This window comes from Homo sapiens, chromosome 3 (assembly GCF_000001405.40).
Source record: "Homo sapiens chromosome 3, GRCh38.p14 Primary Assembly".
Lineage (NCBI taxonomy): Eukaryota > Metazoa > Chordata > Mammalia > Primates > Hominidae > Homo > Homo sapiens.
In genome coordinates, this window is record NC_000003.12 from 144217073 (window position 1) to 144238259 (window position 21187).

At 34.7% G+C, this 21187-nt stretch overlaps 1 long non-coding RNA gene across 2 annotated transcripts in view; it reads left to right on the plus strand.

Moving 5' to 3' along the window:
• Nucleotides 1-921: 921 nt before the first annotated feature.
• The window catches only part of LOC105374140 (uncharacterized), a 266957-nt gene continuing 246691 nt past the window's right edge, over nucleotides 922-21187 (plus strand). For both annotated transcript variants that reach the window (XR_007096124.1, XR_001740941.2), the window contains exon 1: nucleotides 922-20856. This is a non-coding gene — a long non-coding RNA (uncharacterized LOC105374140). The remainder of the gene's footprint in view (nucleotides 20857-21187) is intronic.

The window sequence follows — 21187 nt, forward strand, 5'->3', positions numbered from 1 at the left end:
GATGCTGGGTGAGCTTCAGTGAAGTAGGAAGGAAAGGCATAGACATCATGTGTAGAAAGGTTATGTCAAAGCAAACTATTATGACCGTTTGAGACTATAATAGTTATGTATCTTTCAATTTATGTTTCTATTGCTATAGAAAATATAGTGGACTTTTACTATTCTACTTTTTCTTCAATTTACAATCTAATTTCAAGTAGCTATATTACAGGAACTTTTTCATTCTTCTCTCATATCACTGAGCACATAGCAGGTGTTCAATAAATGCTTGTTGATTAATTGATATGAACAAATAAATACCATACTTGCAAAAAGTGTACTTGGGTTTTTAATAATGCTTATAAAGGCTCAATGTAGTATAGAATACCATACAACACCGTTTTTCTGCTTTCTTTTTATTCCTAAATAAATCAGATGGGGTTGATAATGTTAGGTGTTCATGTCACTGTGAGTCTGGTGTGAACTGGCAGTTAGAAGGCTAGCAGGGTGAGGAGGACATCTGCCTATAAGGGTGACCCGGCATGAGGCAGAACCTGAGCAGAGTAAGGGAGAGACCCATGTGACCTTGGTGGGGTGTCATTGTCTGAGCAAGTTGAGGAGGATGTTCACGTGGGGTAGGGGCTAAGATGAAGAGTTAGAGTCTGAGTAGGGTAAGGGGGACATGCAAACTGGCTTTTGAGTCCTTGGATGGGGAATAGGTGATGACAGAGATGGAAATCTGGCTACATACAGAGGAATTGGTTAAATAGATAAATAAATATATGAAAGACAATGGGAGTTAGTTTCTTACTATTGTAAAAAGGGTTGTAAATATAGCAAAGGAGAAGAGTAGATGAACCATGAAGATTGGGTTCAACACTACTGGTATGAACTCATGATTTTTAATATAAATAGATAAAGATAGATAAAAAATATAGTTGTGTATTTATAAACACTCTGAACGTGTGTTTTTGTATGTGTTATGTACATACACATATATATCCACTTGCTCTGTCCACTGAGAAGACTTTGGAGCAGCTATTCTCCACAAGAATGGACCCAAGGGTTCTTTGAGAAACACTGCTTTCAGGTCTGGAGCAGGGGAAGTTTGGTGGGTCTAGGTCATCTTGTGGCAAAATAAATAACTCAGACCTTCTTGGAGGTGTTTCCACTGGCTGAACCATGTTATCCTTGCATATTAAAATAACTATGATTTTAATAGATTATAACCCACTGATAAAACAAGAAAGCAGGAGTCCATGGTGATATAATTAACAAGATAATTATATCACAGGATATTTAAATAGTTTAGAAGTATATCATCACAAAATATTAGTTAGAAAGGAATTTCACAGTGGAGAAAGATGGGTGGTAGGTCTCATGTTAATCTAGTGATCAAAGTGAATGCCATTATCAATGAGACAAATTAAAATTATGTCCCAATTTTAATACCAGAAATGTATAAGATCAGGTAAATCCAGATTGGAGAACATTACAAAATAACTGGCCTATGATTGGCAAAGCATCAAGGTCCTCAAAGTCAAGGAGAAAGTGAAAACCTCTTGCAGCCTAAAGGGGACTAGAAATTCATAAAAGTAAACACAACACGTGAATCTGAATGCTTAGATCACTTTGCTATAAGGACACTACTAGGACAACTGGAGAAACTTACTGTTGTCTACAGATTAGAGAATTTTATTAGTGTTAATTTCCTGATGTTGATAGTTATATGATTATATAAAATAATGTCCTTTTTTTGCTGGAAACAGAAAATTTGGGATTGAGGGACAATGGGACATGATATCAGCAATTTATTCTCAAGTGGTTTAGGAAAATAAAAGATTTTGTGCTGTACTTCTACATTTTTTCTTAGTTTATGATTATTTTTAAAATATTACAAGAAATGCCTCTTGAATTCAGTGTAAGAAAGTGTGAACAAATTACTTAAAATAAATTTCAGAAGTTATTCCTATCATTTTATCTAATGATTAATTAATGCATCTACAAGTGTTGTCTTCATACAAATTTTATTAAGTTATCCTCTTGTATAAACCTAGAAAGAGCAAATTGGAAATGTTCCTCTTGAATATTTTTAGAACTGGCAAGAATATTTCTTCAGGTGATAGAGAATCAGAACTATCTGAAATTCTCTGGAAGCACATTTTTAAAAATGTTTACATCACATTTTGATTGGCCATATTTTAAATAAGAATTCTCATTAGTATTCTTATTTTCTGATCATAATTGATCCCACTCTTGATTAGTTAATATAATTCTTTTAAACATCAACTATTTTTCTGTGCTGTGATAACAAGTGATAGCTTCAGGATATATATATATATATATATATATATATAGGAATACAGGACTTTTAATTTATTACTAAATGGTCCTAAGATTCTTATTCTTTTCCTCCCTCCCTTTCCCACACCTTTGCCTCTCCTCGTCATCCCCCTTCTTTTCCTCTCCTACTCTCTTTTTCTCATTCAGGAATAAGAAAATGCTAATTATTGCTACAAATCTTCAATACTGTGCTAGAGGACTAACCCCAAATAATAATTTTGATGAGAAAAAAGAAAGAAGAATCGTTGGAAATGAAGAGTCATCTGTCATTATCTGTAGATGACAAGATGATGTAAATGGAAAAATCATGGAATTTAATGAACAAGTGTATAAGAGCAAGAGACTTAAACTATTACAAATAAAGGATTTAGTTTTATGAGAAGGGCCACTGTGAATGATGCCACTCTAGTTTTAGTCTCTTCTTATCCAGGTGGAAAAATTAATTTTATATTGAAAAGCCTGGTTGTTTTCATAAGAAGTCACCTTGTTTTCTTTAGAAATAAAGCTTCTATGGATTTATGTCATTATTTGGAAGAAGTGTCATTACAGAAAATAGAATTGGGCTGGGAGACAATCAATTTGCTGTTCCCCCAAACATCAATTTTCAGATATTCACTTCACTTTTCATCTTCTTATGCAAAATCGTAACACCAGCAGATTCACATATTCAAATACATAAAAATTTATATTCTATATTTGCAATGGAGTTCCATTCTTTTTTTATTTGTATGACCTTCTGACTTATTGAAATTATTATTATTGTCTTCATTACTTTCATGCATCATTGAATGCTTTTTGAACCATTGGTCCAAATTTTCAACTAGGAGTATTAGCTCAGCATGATACTTAAAATAGAAAATACTAAATTCACAATTATAAGAAATATGTTGCAAATGGTGACAAATTCATCAGCAGAGACAAAAATACATTATGTTAACTGAAGAATAGGCAAGAAGAATGGCCTGCAACAACTTTTCAGAAGGTGATGATTATTAAACATGTAACAAGGCTTCCATGCAAATCACATCATTTGATATTATAAGTTTCTGAAATGTTTGTTAACATAATCACTTCATTAATTTTTTCTTTTGAAGCTTCCATGTTCTTTGCAGGCCCGTTGAATAACCACTGTGGACCACCAGATGTCTGTAAATGTCACTTGAGGAAGCCCTGATCTATAATACATATTGAGAAAGGAGAATTGAGGCAGCATTTGGGTTAATTAAAATTACACTGAAGTGAAATAGCTAAGCTAAGAGAAGCCACTCACCACTGTCCTGTCTTCATGCATATACTTCTTTCTGCATATTATTATTATTATTATTTGAAACAGAATCTCACTCAGGGTAGAGTGCAGTGGCACAGTCTCGGCTCACTGCAACCTCTGCCTCCTGGGTTCAAGCGATTCTCGTGCCTCAGCCTCCTGAGTAGCATGGATTACAGGCACCTGCCACCATAACTGGCTAATTTTTGTATTTTTAGTAGAAACAGGGTTTCACCATGTTGGCTAGGCTGGTCTGGAGCTTCTAACTTCAAGTGTTCTGCCCACCTCAGTCTCCCAGCGTGATGGGATTATAGGTGTGGGCCACCATGCCGGTCCCATGTATTTCTGTCTGAGTAGATGCTCAGTGCCATTTCCTAGCACTGACCTTGGACTTGATACTTTCTTCTACATTATATTTAGGGCCTTTTTATATGGTGTCAAAGTGTGAAAACATCCATGATGATGATGGTGCTTTAGAAATCATTGGGTTGTTGGTCCTGACCCTCATGGGACTTTTTCCCAATAAAGTCCCTTAGATTTTGTCTGTTTCTCTATTTTCAAAAGGACACATTAATCCTCAGTTTAAGGGAAATTTTTTAAAAATATTTTCCAAAAAAATTAACTGTTAACTTTTTTGGTTATTATAAGAAAGGAATCTTTCTGAATTCATTTATTATGATATTTGATGCTTTTAGATAAAGAAAGCCAACAAAAAACTTCAAATTGCATAGAGACATATTCAAACATGGTGGAGTCCTTAGAACATTTATATAGGCATGTGGCTTTTGATTTCTGCATATTGAAGGCATTGGACACTTTAACAGTATATTTATTTGGGTATGAAAAAAATCACATAAAAATGTATGTATGTATATGAGTGGAGGGAGAGAAACAGGTAGAGACCTGAGAAACTCCTACTTCATGATACTCCAAGGAGGATTCTCTTTGCTCACCTTATGTTTTCTTGGCTTTGAAATGGAAATATCTGGTATTTCCAGCTTGGATGAAATCACACAATTCTAATGAGTTTTCTTGATACTTGCTCTAACCTGATTCAGGTCAGCTTATTGCTTCTTTCTTGTAGTCAAAAAGCAGAGGAACAGGAGGTAAACCTTCCCTTTTTCATTAATGTTTCAGTGAGTGATCTTAACTCAAGCACTTCTAATTAAAATGTAAAGATCATTAGCATGCCCCGTTAATAGAGGTTTTTCTTTCAACTCAGAATGCTCCGGATGGAGGTGCCAGGCACACTCCTACACCCACCGGTGCTGAACAATTGCTGCTCTTGGCAAGGTTTCAGAACAGCTGGGGGTTTCTGTCTGTTACCTGAGCTGCTGGTGACAACTGCAACTTATGTCAGGCTCAGGGGCAAGGAAACAGGAGGCAGGGCTGGAGGAGCCAGGAGGAGAAAAAAAAACTGCAAAGGCAGCTTTTCCCTTCTTACTGCTATCAGTCTCTCAGGGTTGGCATTGCTGAATGAGAAAGAGGGAGATATATGCTAATGCTAATAAGAAAGGCATTAAATAATATTTTAAAATTATTTACTCAAAAAGAAAAATAAATTGAGATGTATACTCATATGGTACAGATCATATTTTTCCTTTTGGGGTTGAAGAATTCAAATATCTATGTAATCCCCAATCATGCAAAACATTTCAATTTGTGATATCTTTTCCTGAAGATTCATATTACTTTTGATTGATATTTAAATTGAGATATTAACTGCTATTTGATGGTAAGAAATTTTAATTGTAATGGCTACATTATTTCATTTTGAATATGAGAATTTTGATTAGTTGAATCTTTAAAGGCCTATGATATATGTATGAGAATTAAATGGAGATTTAACCCAACAGCTTGTAATACTTATGGCTTATTTTATATGTATTGGGCTAATAAGACTAAATTGAAGAGATATAATAAAGAACAAGTTAAAACGTAGACAGCTAAGCCAATGTCCTATTACATGGCCTTAATCTTAGGGACATTAATGTGGGGATTTAAGATAAATCAGAAATAAGAATTATGTCCATTGTGTCCTAGTCACTCTAGTAATTATAGAAAACTTTTGTTAATTTCTTGTTTTTATTTGCTTCTCTATGCCATCATCTCAACTTCTAACCCATTTCAATTAAGTTACAATATAATTAGTGTTTCTATTAAAATATTTGGAGGTAATAGAATAAAAATAGTTTCTTCTATAATCAGAGTTATTGTGTTGCCTTCATTTGGGTTATTTGTGATTTCAAATTTAGTTAGACTCAGTGGCAAGTGCTCATCATATGCACATTTATTTTTATGCCTTTCATCTTCTTGATTAATCATGTTTGAACTATTTGAGGAAGATATTTGAGCGTTGACTTTATACTGTGATTTTATAGAAAACTCATCTTAGATTTAGAAGGTTCGAAGACTTTGAAAACTCAACTATACAGTGATGGGAAGTAGACGACTATTATACGCTAGCATACCTGCAAGAAGAAGGTGCTGGGTTTTAGTCTGCATCATAAATTTAATTTTCAATCCACACATGAATTGTTATAACTTAAAGCCATCAATAGATTCATCTACTTACTTTGGCAGAAAGACCGAGTGGTAGAAGTAGAGTTGAAGTCAAGGAAGAAACATTATGAATGACTGTCTTTTATAATAAATACAGATACTGCTCAGCTTTTCCTTTAGATAAAATTATTGGAATATATTGGGATAGGCCCAATTGTTACTTTTTTTTCCCTAATAGAGATTATTTGTTACCTATAAATCAATGGATTCAATAGTCATAGTTTTATAATAGTTTATGATTTTCATGTAAGCATTTACAAATAAAAAATAGATCATATGTTTCATTGTTAAAATGTCTCATATACAAATACTTACTCATTTAAAAATTATGTGAGCATCTAAAATGACCAAGGAATTAACTCTTAGATATTGAGAATTCACCCAGTAAGCCAAACGTAAATGTTCTGTGAAAGAAGAGTGATATGGTTTGGTTCTGTGTCCCTACCCAAATCTCATATTGTAGCCTCCATAATTCCCACATGTTGTAGGAGAGACCTGGTAGGAGATAACTGAATCATGGGGGGCAGATCTTTCCTGTGCTGTTTTTGTGGTAGTGAATAAGTCTCATGAGACCTGATGGTTTTATAAGAAGGAGTTTTCCCACACAAGTTCTTTTTGCCTGTGGCCATCCATGTAAGACGTCACTTGCTCCTCCTTGCTTTCCACCATGATTGTGAGGCCTTCCCAGTCATGTGGAACTGTAAGTTTATTAAACCTCTTTCCCTTGTAAATTGCCCAGTCTCAGGTATGTCTCTATCAGCAGTGTGAAAACGGACTAACACAAAAACCTTGGGAAAAACAAATTGTCAATACATTCCAAGTTGAGCTTATCAGAGCCCACAAAACTATAACCCATTAGAACAGTGATTTGGAAACTTGAGTGGGCATCAGAATCACCTGGACAGCTCATTGAATTCATATTGCTGCACTCCACCCTCAGAGTTTCTAACAAGTTCCCAGGTGATGCTTATGCCGCTGTATTGGGACCACATTTTTGAGAACCACTGCATTAGATGATGTCAATAAAAATGTTTTAAACAATTTCTTTGCCTTATTTTAGATTCCAATTGGGCTAAGATTTTAATTTTTTCCTGTGATGCTCACCAGAAAAAATGACCTTAACATTTTGTAATGTCACTACAAGATGCTGTCTACAATTATTTTCACACTTATTTGGGTTATAGATACATGTCAACCAACATGCATGACATATATCTGATACATATATTTTTATAATGATGTAGTATCTATATCTATATCTATCATCTATCTAAGTACATGTTTATCTCTATCATCTATCAAAATATTAATTTATGCTGGATTTGTTTGAATTCCATTAAACTCCTAAATAGCTTAGTAATTTTGAATTTGAAGTTGGGGATGGTGGTTTGGAAAAGGTTACAAGTTGGTGGAAAATCTCTAAGGATTTAATACCACAGTTCTCTCAAATTGACCTTAGTGACTCATCATTGTCTTTGCAGAGAAAATTAGTAAAAAAAAAAAATCATAGGAGATCTTAAAATATCAAATGTCTTAAACGATTCTATCATTTTATGAAAGTGCTTCATCAGTGAGATATTCTAATCTCTGAGATTAATGATATTGTAAAAATATAAAACTGCAAGTATATGTGAATAGTTACTTTGGATTGACTTATGTATATATTTTGTTTCCTTTCCTTTAGATTACATACTTTCTCATCTCCTCAATCCTAACAGAATTTTAAACATATAGTCAATAGCATAATCCTAATGTCTGTAAAACTCTGCCTGGCAACTAGGTTGATGGGAGCAGATGTTAGGCAAATAACTGTGGAGCATCTATGTGAACTGCCCGCTGTTCCTTGCTTGAGCTCATACAAGAACTTGTACTCTTTCTCCTTCTTCAGCTCCCACTTGCCTGCACTTGATGAGAGATTTAAAAATCAGGGAGCATTATAAGGGGCAGGCTTTTTAGTGGAGGTGTTCCCCTCCCTCCCCTCAGGAGTCTGAGTGACTGCTCTCAGTGGGTGGAGAATGCCCTGAATGTGGCCATACCACCTGCCTCTATTGCCTTACCTCCACATCTCCTGTTATCTTCAGACAAGTTAGGTAAATAGTTGAGGCTCCAAGTATTTTTTGGAAGGTTTCCTCTGATATTTTTCCAACACAGTTTTGACATTTGGGGTGTGGCAGATTAGCATGTATTTCTGAAAGTTTAGCAGTTATGTCTACTAATAAATTTTAAAATCTTTATTTGATTGGAAACTACAAGGGTATTATGGAAGTGGAATTATAGTTGTATACATAAAGTGTTGAAGTATATTAAGAGGTGGAGGTCATATTCACAGGGACTCCAAAAAAGAGTCAAAACAAAAGGTGACACATGAGCAGGTTGAAACATCCATGGGTAATTACATATAGCTATACATGTAAAACTTTCAAACAGTAACATTATGTAATTGTATATGAAGGCATTCAGTATATATTTCTCTGAAACTTTCTTTTTTGACTTAAAATTTTATCCTGAACATTTGTCCATTTTGGTACATACAGATGTACTTTGTTCATTTTAACAGTGATCTGATTATCTGTTTCATGGTTAAATTCTGATTGATTTAACCAATATCCTGTTAATGGACTTCTACCTCTCCGTTTTACTGCTCTAGCCAATGATATTGCAATGAAAATGTGTGTGTGTGTGTGTGTGTGTGTGTTTGTGAATATGTGTGTATACATGTAGGAGTGTTTTTATAAGATGGATCCTCAAAACTAAAATTTCTCCGTTGATATGTATGCATGCATATTTGAAATTTTGAGTTATTGTTCTAATTGTCCTTTAAAATCTTTTTACCAGTCTCACCAACATTGAAAGTGAATTTTTTACAACATCAAGAATAATTTTTTTCACTCCCTCAGCTGTTAATAAGATATTATGATAAATGATGACTGGTATAGAATAGCTATTCCAGTTTATATTCATCTGATCAATATTGAGGTTTTCATCTCATGTTTATTAGTTACTTGCTTTTCGTCCATAAATTTCCTCCTTGTACCTGTTGATTATAACAATTCTTTTCCTAAATAGTATTCTAACACTTGTATGGTTTTATTTTACGCATTCACATCACTAAACCCCTGGAATCTTGGTTTGAATAAGGGAGGAAGCAGGAATCTAAGTTTATTTATTTTCAAAAAAAATAGCAAATTCTTCAAATACTATTTATGGACTAAATAATTAGCGTAATGATTTGAATTGCTACTTTCACAACATAAAATATTATCTTATGCCTGGGAAGTATCTGAACAAGAAACTTCATTGTTGGCCAATCTTTTTCCTGCCATGTATTGTAAGGAATGCAAATAACCTACAGAAGAAACAGCATGTGCAAAGACCTAGAGGCATCAGTAATGTGCTTTGGAAAATTTGGAATTTTTAGCGTAGCTGGAACTTTAAGTTTAGGAAAAAGATTACAAACATTATTAGAAAGTCCATAACAAAATCAATGAAAAACATACCGTAATTAAAATACAACTCTGCAACAGAAGCATGACATTTATTTATTCTGATTTGTTTTAGATAATCTATACCAGGGACCTATTTCAGCCCTTTCTTATTTTTTATAGAAGGTCAATATGTTTAAGTACAGTGCTTTAAGAAGCCTTTCCCTTTTACTCATTATTATTATTAGCATTTTAAAGTAAGCAATGTTATCATTTATATTTCTATAGTTTCCATCTTTCTTCTGGGAAGAGGAAATGCTGAGGGAAAAAAATGCACTGAGAGCTCAGTATTTGCATCAACTCTTCCCAAATTTCTGTTTTAATTTTCTGCTGAGAAAACTCTTTTCAAACTTCTCTTTTCCTCTCTCTCTCTCTCTCTCTTTTTTTTTTTTTTTTTTTTTGTCCAAACAGAACCTAAACATAAGATTACGTGACAGTGGGAGGTAGGGCATACAAGCAGACAGACTGTGTATATTAGAGTTTTTGTTACTATTTTTTTCATCTTCAATGTTGATTTTTTTGTAAGGCAAATACAGTGTCCTCTGTGCTGAAACATATCCAAATGTTGCCTATTTTTATTAGATCTTTCAATTATGGTTATGAACTCTAATTCAAGGTAAATAAACACCCATAAATAAATCTAGGCACTTATAGTCAACTCATTTTCACAAAGGCCTCAAGAACATACACTGGGGGAAAGGACAATATATTAAATAAATGGTGCAGGAAAAATTGGTTATTCATCTGTAGAAGAACAAAAGTACATCCGTATCTTTCACCATATGCAAAAGTTAAGTGAAAATGGACTAAAGTCTTAAATCTAAGACCTGAAACTATGAAAATACTAGAAGAAAACACTGGGGAAGCACTCCAGGACATTAGTTTGGGCAGAGATTTCTTGCATAAGACCTCAAAAATACAGGCAACCAAAGCAAAAATGGACAAATGGGATCACAACAAGTTAAAAAGCTTTTGCACAAAAAAGGAAACAATCAACGAAATGAAGAGACAACTTACCGAATGGGATAAAATGTTTTCAAACTATTCATATGACAAGGGATTAATAACCAGAATACACAAGGAGCTTGAACTCCTCAATCAGAAAAAAACACAAATAATTCAATTAAAATAGGGGCGAAAGATCTAAGTAGACATTTCTCAAAAGAAGTTATACAAATGGCATATAGGTATATAAAAAATTATCAGCATCACTAATCATCAGAGAATACAAATGAAAACTACAATGAACTATCATCTTACTCCAGTTGAAATGACTTTTATCCAAAAGACAGACAATAAGAAATGCTGGTAAGGATGTGAAGCAAAGGAAACCCCTGTACATTGTTGGTGGGAATGTACATAGAACAGCCATTATGGAAAACAATATGGAGGGTCCTCACAAAAACTAAAAATAGAAATACCATGTGATCCAGCAATCCCACTGCTGGGTATATATCTAAAAGAAAGAAAATCAAGACATTGAAGCGATATCTATGTGCCCATGTTTATTGTAGTGCCATTTACAATAGCCAAGATATGGAATTCACCTAAGTGTCCGTTAACAGATAAGTGAATGAAGAAAATGTGATATATATACACACAATGGAATATTATCCAGCTATAAAAAGAATGAAATCCTATCATTTGCCACAATGTGGATGGAACTGGGGGATATTATGTTAAGTGAAATAAGCCAGACACAGAAAGACAAATATTGCATATTCTTACTCATATGTGGGAGCTAAATAAAAAGAGAAAAAAAATATCATGGAGACAGAGAGTAGAATGATGTTTACCAGAAGCTGGGAAGGAGGGAATAGAGAGAGACTGGTTAATGGGTACAAAAATATAGTTAGATAGAAGGAATAAGATTCAGTATTTGGTACCACAATAAGGTGACTATAGTTAACAATAATGTATGTGTATTTCAAAATAACCAGAAGAGTGGAATTGGAATGTTCCTAACACAAAGAAATAATACATGCTTGACATGATGGATACTGTAATTACCCTGATTTGATCATTACACATTGTATGCTTGTATCAAAATATTGCATTTGCCGTATAAATATGTACAACTATTATTTAATTAAAAAAAAACAAAAAACCCAATTACACTTTTATGTGGTTAGAATACTGTCTCTTTTTATTCTCTTTTCCCATTTCCTGCCTATCATGTATTCAGATAGCTGCAGGCAAGAAAAACATCTTCAAAAGTTATTTTGACTGAAATTAGCATCATTTTTAAGATTTAATCATTAAGATGTAATTAAAGTGCCATCATGTGTACTTTTAAATTGCTGATTGAAATCCACGTCTCAATGTAACCTTTTTCTAAACATCATACCTCTCTATACCAAACCCAAAAGCCCCACATTGTTTTAGATTTACTAATACAATCAACATACTATTCTACAACTCCAAAATATTCATTGAAAGCAATTTAATCCTTGTTGTTGTTGTTGTTGAATGGTTGCATGTTTAAGGGTATTTCTTTTCTAATATTGCGTGCAGATATTGTACTGAAACTATGAGAAAATAGGGCAAGGAGTGTAAGAGAATGCTGTTTATAATGATTTGTGGCACTCAGAGCCTTACATTGGGATATAATGCTAAATTGACTTTTGCAGAAATACACAACTTGTTGTGAAGCTTTGGACATTTTCCATAACCAGTGGTGCCAGATCCTGGAGGGGCTGGGCAGTCTGGGCAAAGACAAAGTAAACAAGTCAGTAGAAAAAACAATGATTAGAAAGACTGACCTCTGAACCATAACATCTCTGAGCTCCCAAAAAGGTCAACCTAAGTTTGGCAAATACTTCAATCCTCCTGGTGACATATAACCTTGGATGTTGATCACTCAAACTTTTATTGTTGTTTATATCTAGAAGCGCAAGTTCTGGGAGGATGCCAAAAGTTTTGTGGTTATGATGTGTGGGGTATATTAGTTGGCATTGCTGGCTTGGGAAATCTATTGTTCTGAAGTGGAAAACCTGCTTGTTTAACATTCTCTCTTCCCATTCTGGAAAAAAAAGTGTGACTAATTTTTTTCCAGAAACTATATATATATATATTTTTTTTTTTTTCTAGTAGACTTGGAAAGGAAATCAGAGAGTGGTTCTCTCAGTACTGAGGTGCCCAGACAAGACAATGGCACAGTTGAAATAAAAAACTGCAGAAAGACTGATGACAATCACTTACTTAAGCACCGAATACTGGAGTTGTAGCTTAGGTTGAAGGTTTGAAGGTGTCTGACACTGCCTTTTTTACCTTTATTTTTATTAAGAGAAGGCAAATAGGCTGTGATGTTTCTTTTTTTCTAAAGAAGTATTAGAACCTTGTTAATTATGGTAGAGTGAACATGGGCAGGAAAAGGAAAATATAATTTTAAGTATAATGGTGCATGCTGGAAACACAGATTGGCAAGCATATGGGATTCTGGCATCTGGACAGAAGCCTTCATTACCACCTGCTTCTCAGAGGTTACTTTGGCAATTTTTGCAGCAATTCCAGTGATTCACAGGTCTGGGCTAACAATTTTTAGCAAGCAGCTAAAGAGGGCACAGGAACATAGAGGCAGTTACTCAGAGCTTCTGTCCACACATTGGTTTCATCTTCCTGGGTATTATGTCACTTTAAGATAATCTATGTGCCACTATTTCATTGTGATAGCAGCAGATGTTACTTCATGCTAATATTTTTTACCTGCTTTATTCACCAGGTGACACTCAGTTTTACCTTGGGAATGAATTATCTCTTCTGGTTCCATGAGATGTGAGGAATATGTGAAAAGACTTGAGTTCTTGTGTGTTCTGAAGTGTGAAGACCTAACTGGTTACCTCCAGCTCTCCTTGACTTTCTCATTCTTCCTAATGTTCCTGGGAATTTTAGAAATTCCTGCATGTTTTCAATTCTGAATAGTGCCGCAATAAACATATGTGTGCATGTGTCTTTATAGCAGCATGATTTATAATCCTTTGGGTATATACCCAGTAATGGGATGGCTGGGTCAAATAGTATTTCTAGTTCTAGATCCTTGAGGAATCGCCACACTGTCTTCCACAATGGTTGAACTAGTTTACAGTCCCACCAACAGTGTAAAAGTGTTCCTATTTCTCCACATCCTCTCCAGCACCTGTTGTTCCCTGACTTTTTAATGATCGCCATTCTAACTGGTGTGAGATGGTATCTCATTGTGGTTTTGATTTGCATTTCTCTGATGGCCAGTGATGATGAGCATTTTTTCATGTGTCTTTTGGCTACATAAATGTCTTCTTTTGAGAAGTGTCTGTTCATATCCTTTGCCCACTTGTTGATAGGGCTGTTTGTTTTTTTCTTGTAAATTTGTTTGAGTTCTTTGTAGATTCTGGATATTAGCCCTTTGTCAGATGAGTAGATTGCAAAAATTTTCTCCCATTCTGTAGGTTGCCTGTTCACTCTGATGGTAGTTTCTTTTGCAACCCAAATGTCCAACAATGATAGACTGGATTAAGAAAATGTGGCACATATGCACCATGGAATACTATGCAGCCATAAAGAATGATGAGTTCGTGTCCTTTGTAGGGACATGGATGAAGCTGGAAACCATCATTCTCAGCAAACTATTGCAAGGACAAAAAAACCAAACACCGCATGTTCTCACTCATAGGTGGGAATTGAACAATGAGAACACATGGACACAGGAAGGGGAACATCACACACTGGAGCCTGTTGTGGGGTGGGGGGAGCGGGTAGAGATAGCATTAGGAGATATACCTAATGTAAATGATGAGTTAATGGGTGCAGCATACCAACATGGCACATGTATACATATGTAACAAACCTGCACATTGTGCACATGTACCCTAAAACTTAAAGTATAATAAAAAAGTTTTAAAAAAAGAAATTTATAAATGTGACTAAATCCAGCTAATGGATTGAAAAAAAGAATAAGGTTTCAAAAAAAAAAAAAAGAAAGATATTCCTGCATGTTTTCTAGTAACTAGGGTGGTGTCATATAATATTCTACTAAAAACTCATGTGAACAGTCATTTAACTCAGGACCACTATGGTTAATTATAAAGTAAAATATTGACTAGCATAATGCATTTTAGATTAAAACTTTATAACAAATTTTTATTATCAAATACTACTTGTTGAGTATTTATAATGGGTCAGATAATGGAATAAACATTTTAAATGTAAAAGATTGTTAATACAAAGATGTAAATGGAAGAGCTTGTGGGTGAGAATAAAAATGGTACAGTCCTCTCAGAAGGGCCATTTGTTGGTGTTATCAGCATCCTAAATGCATGTGTCCTGTAATGGCTCACCTCTTCCTTGTTGCTTTACTAGAACTACATTCTATCTATGCTGTAGAAATATTACCATATACACATAAGGCTGTATATGGTAATTGTAAGATTGTTTGTAATAAATAAAAATCAAAAGCAACCTAAATGTCAATTAATAGGAAAACTGTTATGTATGTTTTGGAAATGCCATACATTTCCAAAATATCATATGGATATGATATGGAATATCATAGAACGATTTTGAAATGTGAGACAGATCTCTAAGGACTGATGCGGAAAAATGTTCATGGCCAACTTTTTAAGTTTAAAAAACACACCCTTATTTTTGAAGTGTATGTAGAGCATATTCCTATGTTTTTGTTAAAGAAACCCTCATATATATATATATATATATATATATATATATATATATATATATATAAAATTAAATCTGTAAGTGCATGTAAGTCATGTATTATGAACTGAGTGAATATTTGTGTCTCTCCAAAATTTATATGTTGAAGACCTAACCCCCTTTGGGAGATAATTAGGGTTAGATGAGATCATGAGGATGGAGTCCCTTGATGGGATTAGGGCCCCTATAAGAAAAGGATGAGACTAGAGCTCTCTCTTTCTATCATATGAGGGAAGCAAGAAGGCAGCCTTCTGCAAGCCAGGAAGAGAGCCTTTATCAGAATTCAACCATGCTGGCACCCTGCCTTCAGAACTGTGAGAAATAAATGAGTGTTGTTTAAGCTACCCAGTCTATAGTTTTTTTTAATAGCAACCTGAGCTGATGAAGACAATATAGGATTCCGGATAGACTCTATTGCATGACTATCTGTAAGATGAGGTGGGAAGAGGGAGAAATTCTCCCTTTTCCAGCATACACTTCTTTATTGTTTGAATATTTGTCAAGTACACATTACTTTTATAGTTGAAGATTGGGAGGAGGGAAGGAGGGGAGGAAAGAAGGAAGGAAGAAAGGAAGAAAGAAAAAAGGAAAACTACCACTCTGAAGGCCCAAAGTCCACATTGCTTTTTCATGAATTATTCTGTTTACCATTTGCAGAATATTAAGTTACCAATTCTAAAGCCACTTCCTCCTTGGATGACCTTAAGGGGAAAAAAGAAAAAAGATACCCTCACATCCTCAGCTCCTCCTATAAAATAAATGGGCTTTACAGAAGAGACTATTATGTTTTGTGAAGTATTTTCAAATATATCGTTGAAGGAAACTTAAACAGAATATTAAGTTGGAATTGGATTGCATTCCCCTTTGAAGGATTAGGTTCTAAAGTCATGCCTTTCCTGTCTACTATGTCCTTTTTTGTTTTCTTCTACATTAGAACCTAGTTGGAGTCCTCTAACGTGCTTATTTTTCTATTAAGCAGAGCCATCAGAGTTCACCTGTTCCCTATTGTCTCAAAGTGTTTGCCCTTCATTTTTCCTTTAGACTATATATAGACTGTTTAATTTTGGTTTGGATCTTTAGAGAAATTCCAAGAGACACTCTTGGTTCTAAAACATATAGAGAGGCTGGGTCTTCAGAAGTTTTCTCGTGGTTTTGGTGAAGGCTATAAATGAATGATTTATTTATAGATAAATAAATCCATCCAAGATGGTTTGCAGATTGATCACATGAAAAGTTGAAAGAAAGAAAAACAAATCACAATATCAGACCTTAACTAACTCAAGTCCACAAATTGCAATTTTGAGGGGATCGTGTATAAAAATCTCTTTTAAGCAAAATTGCTCAAGTAATTCTTGTGTATCTTACTGAAGACTAATAGTTGGAAATAAATTATCTGGTATTGATCACAAAAGCCCATGAATGAGACCACAAAGGCAAATATTTCTGACTTTCTGGTGAAGCTCATATTGGCATGCAAGCTTTGTCCATAAAATGTGTCCCTTGCTTATGATAGGATGTAGGGGTTATGAGTAAGACAAATGCCAGATGTGGGGAAGGATGTTCAAGTGTTGCAATGGGAGAGAAAGTTTTGGCTTAAGAAAATCTATAGAGTACCCTTCTCTCAAACAGAGGTACCAATATTATCTGTTCTCATACTTTGGTGAGCATCATAAGACTAATCACATTTTATAAATTCTGTGAGTCAGATGTGCCCCTTTCTTTGGGCTCTCAGAGATCTCAGGCTGTTGCAGGGATTTCTGTTAGTGGTTTTGAACAGCTCTTAAACAAAAATCAGGTTCCCTGATTCTAAGTAATTTTTATCTGTAATGGATTATTAGAGCTACAAAGAAATGCTCAACAAAACCTCCTATCCTTAGGGATTTACAAATAGTGGAAGTGGTATAAGATGGTGAATGTCAGAAAAAGAAATTGTGGTTTATTTATTACAGTAAACCTCAAATTCATTTTCAGTTATCAAAAAACTACAGAGGAAGAGTCTATGTCATATAAACAGATATTTATTTTTCTATTTTAAAAAGTTGTTTTAGGGAAAATTCCAAACATACTCAAAAGTTGAGAGAATAATGCCATGAAGTTGAGTACCTGTTACCCAACTTCATTAATTAACAACACTCTGTCATTTGTTTCCATTTTTGCCCAATTTTTTTTTTTGGAGTATTTTAAGGAAACCCCAACATAATATTGCCTTACCCATAAATATTTCACTGTAAAAAAGACATTGAAAACAAAGATTAACCAAAAAATATGACTGTATATACATAACAAAGTTTCATCTACTGACTTATTATTTGAAACCTCAAATTGTTTTATATTTTATATGTTGCCTCTACTTTAAAGTGAACAACATAAGATTATCATAAGAACCATTAATAAAATAAGCTCTAAGATAATTTGTAAACTAATAGATGTTAAAGCCTCTTAAAAAGCAAAATTATACTCTATAAATGTTTACTTTTTAAACAGTTGTTTGTTTTTAAAAAAATAATACAGTCATGACACAACATACACATTTTTAAATTACTGCTGTTCATTAGCCAAGAAATAGTCAAGAACATTCAAAATAATTTTAAATATTTGCTTATACTATCCATAATCAAGAAAAATATAGAGTTATCCATAAGATAATTACATTCATTTATTTTTTGTAATTCTCTTACCCAGTAAAGTCCTCAAAAATATGAAAGGTGCTTATTGGGTTTCATCCACTGAATTGTAGTTCTAATTAATAATGCATTAACAATCAGTTCAGTACTGAAAACTCTGTTTCAAAGTAGATGCTGACTATTGTGTTTCTCATTCATCTACTCATTTAGTTTAGAGAAGACTGACAGACTCAGCAACCCACTTGCAAATATTGGTACTTTCTTGTTTTTTCCCATACTTAAATGCAGTTCTCAAATGCTGACTTGTTCCAAGTCTTCTAGCCTGCAGTGATGACTTTGACCATTTGGATTTAAATAAAGCTGCTTCAACTCCCATAATGAGACTAGGAAACCCTGTGAGAAATTCCTTTTCCATCTCAATATTTCAGGGGATCTTTGTGGGATTAAAATTCATTATTATGTCCTCTTGTTCTACTTCTCTGTGTCTACTGAGCTCCCAACTTTTGAGCATTCTGTTATTTTGCTGCCTACCATTATCCCATACTGGATACTGTCCAGATCGTTTCACCTTCCAAAGGACCATTCTCACAAGACTGCATGATCAGGCAACTTTTACTGGTGTTTTGGGAGTAATTCAAGAATAATTATTTTATAACTGCCATGATTGCCTTTGGCACATCCCTGTCCCCTGCACACCTACAGATGGCCAGCTCCACCCACAGATGGCCGTGGCATTCAGTTACTTTGCTGGGCATTTCCCTCTCCCTCTCTTGCCTAGATCCTTTATTGTGTCCCTGCCCTTGAAACTTAAATTTCTTACCTTCTCTGCTGAATCATTCAGTTCTCTTTGACTAACTTATCTGATTGAGAGACTGTGCCTGAGTGCTTCACCTTTCGTATTTGGAAAACAGTTTTTCTAAACCCACAGCATATCATAGGGAGAAAAACATGTCATTCTCCCAGGAGATGGGGACTCTAGTCAGGTGCAGCTCAGGTGCACCTTTACATGGCAGTTTTTGCCTTCTTGGCTACAGATATTCTCATCTTTATTTTTCTCTCTTCTCTCTCCCTTCTTTATTCATCTCTCTCTTTATCAAACCACTCATCCATATACACAGTATAACTATATGTTTGAGTAAGGGCAAACTCACATACACATAACCCTTCCTTGACTGTTCCTGAGCTCGCTTCTCCAGAAAGCACATAGGAAAATATGGTGTGGGCAAGTTAGGCTTCCTTGTAAATGTGGGAAAATTCTTGTATGGGTTGCTTCCCACATATGCCCCTCTGGATGATAAAGTAGATGGATTCTATGAAAATTGTTTCATTGCTGGGAAGCCAGTAAATTTTCAGAAGCCTTCACAGGATGATAGAGTCTGGAGACAGAGCAACAGAGAGAACCCAAAACAGACATCCCTTTACAACATGACCACTTTACTTTTGCTTTGTTTACATATTCTAAGACTGTAAGCTTATGTTTTTGTTAGCGAGCCAACTTAATTTTTTAATAGTCTTATCAAAATTTGATTCTACAGCATCCACTCATTGGCTTTGGGTCTATTCTCTGGAGTCTTACAAAATAAGTTTATTCATTCTTTCAAAGAACAGCCTTTCAAATATTTGAAAACAATTCTAATTTCCCCATAAAGTCATCTCTTCTCAGGCTAAATATCTTTTGTTTCTTCAACAATTCCTTCTATTTTGTATCTTCCAGACCCCTTACCTTCCCTATTGTATTACTTTGGAGTCATTCCATTTTGTCACTATACACTCTCAAAATGCCTTATCTAGCAGAATAACTTGTACAAAACAGATGGATAAATGCCGAGAGAATTTAATTTAACCAAACATCATACTATATCCAGTGCTGGGTCCATCTTTCATCTGGACATTACACTTTTATTAATACAACATAAGATTGCATTAGCTTTATTATAAATCACATTGACTTATAATGTAATATCTCCTGACATTTTTCTTATAATCTTACATTCCTTCGTTTGCATTTGGTTATCTGATTTCCTGAATCTAAATGCAAAAATTTAAGTTTATGCTTATATATTTCATTTTGTTGGCTTTATCCCATCTTTTCACCCTTTCAAAACCTCAGAATTTCAATCTCATTATCAAAAATATCAGCTTTTCCAACATTAATTGAGTCATATATAAATGCATTGGGTTTAGGTTTACCTTTTGTCTCTATCCAAGGGTTTGATTGTTAAGGTAAAAGTTCATTGCAGTTATGGACTTGTTACTCTTTCTTTGCTTCTGGCTCTGGCTGGCATTTTAGGACCACATGCCTTTTGGGAAGATTGCAGGATATGTATCAGATCTGATCATACACAAGCATCGTCAGCCACCATGTGGCATCCGTGGAGTTGTCCTCCCAGCTTCCCACCTCTGTGTGTCTTTTAAGCATCCACATACACAGATTCTCACTTCTTCTGTCACTCAGTACCCCGAAGAGCACGGCCACTGCCATCTGTTTCCAGGCACCAGGCCTGGATGTTGCTGTGGTTGAAGCCTATAATTTTCCCATGCTGTGGTCTCTCCCAGGCTCTCCTGCTACTGCTATTTCCCTGAATCACCCAGGGTGCCAAAGCTCTGAGTGTTCAGCAGCAAAGTAGAGGGAGAATATCGGCTTCTAATTTGAGTGTTTTGTGTACCCTCTCATTTGACAATATTTTTGTAAAAATTGCTTGTATTAGTTTTTGTTTTTCATTGTGATAATGCTGTCCCACAGACAATACCAACATATGTGTGTTTTACAAAAATCAGCATTTAATTTTGACGATGGATTTATGGATTGGCTATGGCTCTGCTGGACTCGGGTGGATGGACTGAGCTTGTAGGCTGCAGGTTGCATTCAGATTAATCCATAAATCATCTACTTCGGCTTCAACAGTTACTTGGGGTAAGTGCTTCTGACAAATGGCAGTTCAAGAGTACTGAGTGGAAACAGATAATACCCCTTAAGACTTCAGAATGCACTGCAACTTATGCTCACATACTATTAGCTCAAGCAAGTCACATGGCCAAGAAGTGTATACTCTAGTCATAGTCAGCCATGGCAAGGACAGGGAAAAATACATTTTGGAGACAAATCTTTCATTTTTATGTCTTTCCTTCACTTTCTTTTTATATGCTACATGAGTCTAGAGAAGGCAGGAGAAAATCCCTTTGATAAACACCATATTAGAATTACCTCTTTACTGTGAGATACAGAGCTTTGCATTGGCTCTATT